This window comes from Homo sapiens, chromosome 2 (assembly GCF_000001405.40).
Source record: "Homo sapiens chromosome 2, GRCh38.p14 Primary Assembly".
Taxonomy (NCBI): Eukaryota; Metazoa; Chordata; class Mammalia; order Primates; family Hominidae; genus Homo; species Homo sapiens.
In genome coordinates this window covers 36,811,530-36,818,318 of record NC_000002.12, presented here as the reverse complement: position 1 = coordinate 36,818,318, position 6,789 = coordinate 36,811,530, and the positions used below count along the sequence as shown (strand labels likewise).

The window sequence follows — 6,789 nt, the reverse complement described above, 5'->3', positions numbered from 1 at the left end:
GCTTTCAAGCATATTTCCTACTTACCACATTTATATATTGGTAATCTAAGGGAGGATCTTTTCTTAGGATTTTGATCGGAAAACATTATTGTTTGTAAATTCATTTTGTAAGCTGGAATATCCTTGGACACAGAAGCATTATCTTGTCGATAAACCCATGGTGGCCCCTTGAGACTGCTGCTGGGAGGCTTTTGCTTTATGGAGGTTTTGTCCTGTTCAAAATGTTTAAAGAGCCCAGAGAAACCAGTAACCTCTGAACACCATCAGTATGGCCAGAAAGTTTTTTAGCAGAGCCTTGTTGCAAAACTTTGAGCCTCAGTAAAGAAAAGTCTGCCAAAGGGCCTTAACTCCTGAGAAATGGGAAAATTAAGTCAAGTGAAGTTTAGACGTCATATGCACAGAGCAGCTGGACTGATGGCCCTTGTGTGCTTGTGTTGGTTGAGTTTGAGGGGAAAGGGCATGGAAGAGATTTTTCTATTAAGACCACGGAATGAAGGATGGAGTTGCCTTAGGAGACTGGCTCCAGAGTCTGCAGGACCCAGAGAGCTTTGCAAAGGCCAGTCGAGAGCCCAGGAGTTTGCAGAGCCAAGTTGGGTGGGGATGGGGATGGGGTGGGGGTCTCTGACCCCGACAAAAGTGGTCACATGAGCCAGTAGGTCAGCAGACAGATCCAAATTCTGGTTCTGTCCCTCCATATTTGCACAACCTTCTTGTGGCCTGGGTTTCCTCTTTTGCAATTTGAGGGATTGACATAGATTGTCTCGAAGGCTCTGTTTCTAGTGTTAAGATTTTAGGCCTGCCTCAGCAACATTAGGCACAGTTTAGGTTGCGGGAGGTGACAGTCATTTCCAAGCCTCTCACTCATCCAACATCCCCAGAACTTTTATCCCCAAACTGCTCTGTGCAAACTCTGATTTGACCTACCCCACTCCCCACCCAGCCTTCCCCCTGGGACTCAGGGAGCTCCTCTCTGCTGTCAGCAAGCTCCCAGAAGCCTCAGCCCCTTCACCTTCCTGGCCTGCTTATCTGAAACCAGGTTGTCTCTTGCAAACTCCCAAGTGGAGGCTGTTTTTCATCTCTCACCCCACGTATTTCGCGTCTGGAATGGGGGATAGGTCTGCCCTTTGCTCCACTGCCCCTTCCTCACTCTCCCCTTCCTAGTCCTCCTTCAAAGTCTCAGCTCCCTTGAAGGTCTCGCCTCAGATTGTATTCAGCCCCTCAAACTCATCACTGTTGCCTTCTACGAATCTCTGAGTCACTTCCTCTCATTGGCAGAAGGTGCCAGAGCCTGGCTATATTCTCTCCATCCCGACTCCTGTCATTGTCTTTGGTGACTGGAACATCCATACCGACAATTCTGATGCCACCATAGCCTTTGAGTGTCTCACTCCCTATGACCTTTGTCCCCGCCCCCATAGCATACACTCAATATTTGTTGACAATGCGTAGACAACAGACTCATTGGAAGAGGTGCCAGTTATCCTCAAATTTATAATGCCTATAACTAGGGTGACCATATCATTTATTTTCCTAACTGGGACAGGTTTGTGAGTGAAAGAGGACACCAAAATAATTAAAATTATATTACTTTTGGAAATATTTACTTATTGATGACAAATTGGTTTTTATATTAAGGCCCCTATAAAATAACTAGATTCAAAAACCATTTTCCAAAATAAAATATTTCTTTAAAAAATCCAAATAACTTGTATGTGTACATGGAAGCAATGTTGAAAAACTCCTTTATGGGGTTTATCTTCACATGCAAAGATGTAGGCGGAATAATCGTTCTTAGTCCTTCTTTAAGTTTTTAAAATTAGCTTTTTTTTTTTTTTTTTTTGACGGAGTCTCAAACTCACTCTGCTCACTCTGTCACCCAGGTCACCCAGGCTGGAGTGCAGTGGCACCATCTCGGCTCATGCAACCTCCACCTCCCAGATTCAAGCGATTCTCCTTCCTCAGCCTTTCAAGCAGCTGAGACTACAGACATGCACCACCATGCCCAGCTAATTTTGTATTTTGAGTAGAGACGGGGTTTCACTATGTTGGTCAGGCTGCTCTTGAACTCCTGATCTCCTGTGATCTACCCGTCTTGGCCTCCCAAAGTGCTGGGATTACAGGCATGAGCCACCATGCCCGGCCTAAATTAGCTTCTTAGCTGAGTCTGGCATGAATAGAGTGTCACCAGTATCTTTCTGAAGAATTTCCTTTAAAAAAAAACCCAGATTTATATTTTGAAGTTTTTGGACAAAATTGTAATTGCATTCAAAGTAAATTTTATGGCAAATAAATCTGAAATTGTTGACACCTTTAATTGATTCTTCTCTGTAGACCACAATATTTTCAATTGACAATATACTCTCTCTTCAGCTATTAAGAAATTTGGTAAGCTCAGTGTAAATTCTGCTGACTGAATGATATCCTCGATTCTAATTTTTTATGTAAATATTTTGTCCCAAATATTGACACAATTACTGTTTCTGCTCCCATTCAGAGTAGTATTCTTCACAATATATTTTTATAAAACATAACCTATCAAGTAAGTCATCTCTATTTATAATTCTTTTGGACATTTCCCAATTACACATATATTTCACATGCTGATAGGTGAGTCTTTGGAGAAGCTGGAAGTAAAAAGTGAAGTGCAACCAAACTCATCCCAGCTTATTTTAATGCAGCTAGCAATAATATTTGGTTAACAAATGAGAAATCCAAGAGAAATGCTCAACTGGATGGACCCAGGGCAGCAGGTAAAAATGGGGCCTCTTTGGGGAAATGTAACACTAACTCCTCAAGGGTAGCTCAGTGCTTCTAGATCACGGCAGCAGATACAAATCACCAGAGAGCTCTTAAAACGTGCCAATGTTCAAGCTCCAATCCCAGGGACTCAGATTTCACTGGTACTGCGGTGGAGCTTGGGAACCAGCACTGTAGTCTCCTAAGTGATTCTAATGCACAGCCTACTACACCACTTTTGGTTTTGGAGACAGAGTCTCACTCTGTGGCCCAGGCTGGAGTGCAGTGGCACAATCTCGGCTCACTGCAACCTTCACCTACTGGGTTCAAGCAATTCTTGTGTCTCAGCCTCCCAAGTAGCTGGGACTACAGGTTCGTGCCACCATGCTAATTTTGTATTTTTAGTAGAGACGAGGTTTCACCATGTTGGCCAGGCTGTTCTCGAACTCCTCACCTCAGGCGATCCATCTGCCTCAGCCTCTGAAAGTGCTGGGATTACAAACGTGAGCCCCCGCGCCTGGTCTACTGCCCCACTTTTAAGCAAGATCAGCTTGGTCCTCAAGAGCTGGCTGCTCCTAAAGCATCATGTGGCAAGTATTCATCGACTCAGACAACAGCGAGGGAGGCACATCAGGAGAAGCAACATCACTGTACATTGTCTCTGCACCTCTACAGGTGTGTTGTTACCTTAGGCCAGTTGTGAGCCCAGAGAAGTTGCTCTGGGAACTGAGGAGAGCAAATGGTGGCCCTGCCACGAAACTTGTGTACAAAAGACACAGTCAGAAACATTGCATGTCATCCTTCTAAACATTTAATTCAGCAATTCCTACATTGTCATGACAAAAATGAAACTTGCTGAGGGTTACAGAGTTCTAATCAGAAATAACAACTTAAAAATCTCACAAAAGCTCTACGTAAGCCTGTCGTAAGGGCTGCACTGTATTCCGAACATTTATTTTGAAAACAATTGTCAAAATGTAAAATCTCCAGCACCCTCAACATGATGTAGCCTTTTGGCTCATTCTATACGTTTGTGATCATCTTTGTAACTCCAAGTTTTGGAATATGAAAAAGCATGATGGCAAAGAATAATAACAAGACATTTGTTTCTCCATGCCCTGCCCAAGACTTGATGCACCGTGCGTGCCCCATTAAGCGGTGGGGTGGTCCAACACGTCAGTTAGTAAAGCAGCACTTGCTGGTGCTCTGCCTGCTCTGAATTCAGTTCCGAGGCTGTGAGTTGAACTCTGTACAAATGTTCTGGATGATCCTGGGGACATACTGATGGAGGTTGTCAAACTCGTCCACAAAGAAGGAGTGGTCTCTGGCGGGGTGAGTGGCAATGACTTCTAGCTCCTCTTGGGCAGCCCAGGCAACGCCTATCGCATAGGTGATCACTCCTGTGGGGACAAAGGTTAGATGAACAAATGTCCCCAAGTAAAGGTGCTGCTAAAGAATCTCTCTCTTCTTGTGGCCCTGTTGGCACAGCCAAATCCAAAATCAGAAATATGCCCAAACAAAACAAAACCAAAAATACGCTACAGGCCTCTAGGTTTCCAGAATAAAGACTAAGTATGGCCATTCATTTATTCACTCAATAAATGCCTTTGAGCATACACTCTATGCCAACAGTAACAACGTTTATATAATTGTTATCTCAGGAGTTTATAGTATTTTAGGAAACAATGAACAAAATGGAGTAAATAACATGGTAAGAATTTCATGTTTGGGAATAGAAGAGGGGAAGATATTTTGGGACAAGTGAAACTTTTGGGGCCATGCAGATCAGAATACATGACACATGCCTGCTCTACCAGTGGGAAGAGCCAAGCAAAATCTGAGAGAGCCTTAAATGCCATCAAAAGCTGGTTCAAGATCTTTTAAACTAAAACAGTGGAATGGAATCACTTTAGGCTTGAGGGTGACTTTACAAACCATTGAATCCAACCTCATTTCCAGTGCAGGAACCCTTGCCAAAGGTGCCAGAGAGATGGTCCCCAGCATGTGTTCCAACATTGTGATGAAGAAAGGCTTCCAAGATAAAGAAAGGGGTGTCCAACACTGTTGGGTGCTACAGGGCAGTCATGTAAGATGAACATGAAAAAGTGCTCAATGGGTTTTTGTTTGTTTGTTTGAGACAGAATCTCACTCTGTCACCCAGACTAGAGTGCAATGGTGTGACCTCCACTCACTGCAACCTCCGCTTCCCAGGTTCAAGAGATTTTTGTGCCTCAGCCTCCCGAGTAGCTAGGATTACAGCATGTGCCACTGCACCTGGCTAATTTTTGTATTTTTAGTAGAGACAGGGTTTCACCATGTTTGCCAGGCTGGTCTCGAACTCCTGACCTCAAGTGATCCTCCTGCCTCGGCCTCCCAAAGTGCTGGGATTACAGGCATGAGCCACCGTGCCTGGCCTCATTGGATTTTTAAAAAAGCAAAAACAGGCTGGGTGCGGTGGCGCATGCCTGTAATCCCAGCACTTTGGGAGGCTGAGGTGGGTGGATCACGAGGTCACAAAAAATCCTATTTTTTTTTTTTTTTTTTTTGCAAAAAATTAGCCAGGGGTGGTGGCACATGCCTGTAGTCCCAGCTACTCGGGAGGCTGAGACAGGAGAATCACTTGAACCTCAGAGGCATAAGGTTGCAGTGAGCCGAGATGGCACCGCTGCACTCCAGCCTGGGTGACAGAGCGAGACTCCATCTCAAAAAAAAAAAAAAAAAGAAGAAGAAAAAACAAAACCAAGACACTGGTAGTTTGGTGAGAACAGTTTCAGGGAAGAAGATGCCAAAGAAACCAAATGAACTACTGTGAGTTGAGACTGAAAAAGAAGTGAGCATGTGGGGTCAGCATCTCCTTTCCTGAAGTTTGGCTGTGAAAGGGAGTCAGTAGGTGGTAACTGGAGCAGAACATGGAGTCACAGAAAATGTTTTATTTATAGGGAGGGAGGAACTGGAGCATGTCTAGGTGCAAATGGGAAGGAGTAAAATAAGACTGCAGGTGTTGGATTGCAGTGGGGAGAAGATGACCCAGGGAGGAGAGGATGGGATTCAGAGATAAGGCATCCAATCTTAGTGGGAAAACTGGGAGACTGCCCGGGGTGGTGGGTCTTGATTTGGGTTGTGGACAGCTGGTCAGCAGGTGCTTGACCTTACTCTACAATAGCCTATTCTCGCGCCACCTTCAGGCTGGTCTGAGTAGGGTAAGCAAAATGGCCATGAAACAGAGGGCAGAGCCTGGATGTAGCCTTCCTGCCCTGGCACCTCCCCCCGAGTCCCCCACAGTGTTGTCACTATTTCCAGCATCTTCTGGGTGCCTGGGAGAGCCGTGCATACCTCACGTGGCTCTGACCTAAGCTGCTTTTTGATTGTGGTCCATTAAATTGCATTTAAGCTGCCAGTCCCCTTTCTCCCTCCTCCAGTTTCTTTTCTCGGAACATTGTCTAGATTGGAAGGAGCCAGCTTTGGGCTTTAAAGTGCTGCCAGGTGTCAGTGAGAGCAGCTTTGCTGCAGAGCTGGGTTTAGACAGTCTAAGCCCTCCTTCCCGCTCAAAGATGGAGAGGTTGCCCTTAAAAAACTACGCAAACAGTATTAGAAATTTAGCTCTCCGGGCCAGGCGTGGTGGCTCACACCTGTAATCCCAGCACTTCGGGAGGCTGAGGTGGGTGGATCACCTGAGGTTAGGAGTTCAAGACCAGCCTAGCCAACATGGTGAAACTCCGTCTCCACTAAAAATACAAAAAAAATTAGCTGGGTGTGGTGGCAGGTTCCTGTAATTCCAGCTACTCGGGAGACTGAGGCAGGAGAATCGCCTGAACCCAGGAGGCGGAGGTTGCAATGAGCCAAGGTTGTGCCATTGCACTCCAGCCTGGGCAACCAGAGCGAAACTCCGTCTCAAAAGAAAAAAAAAAAAAAGAAAGAAAGAAAAAAAAGAAAATAAATTTAGTTTTCCAGATCCCAAGTCCACTCTTGTTGTACAGAATCTCCTACTGGCAATTCTAACAGATGGTCACCCAGCCTTGACTTGGATACTCCCAGGAACACAATGCTCATTAC

General features: G+C 45.1%; 1 protein-coding gene across 13 annotated transcripts in view; it reads right to left on the bottom strand.

Moving 5' to 3' along the window:
• Positions 3,525 to 6,789, bottom strand: part of VIT (vitrin) — a 118,088-nt gene continuing 114,823 nt past the window's right edge. For 12 of the 13 annotated variants that reach the window (NM_053276.4, NM_001177969.2, NM_001177970.2 and 9 more), the window contains one exon: positions 3,525 to 4,136. In NM_053276.4, the coding sequence (NP_444506.2) occupies positions 3,958 to 4,136 (179 nt within the window). In that variant the 3' untranslated portion in view covers positions 3,525 to 3,957. The remainder of the gene's footprint in view (positions 4,137 to 6,789) is intronic. The other variant, NM_001391967.1, reaches the window with a different exon arrangement.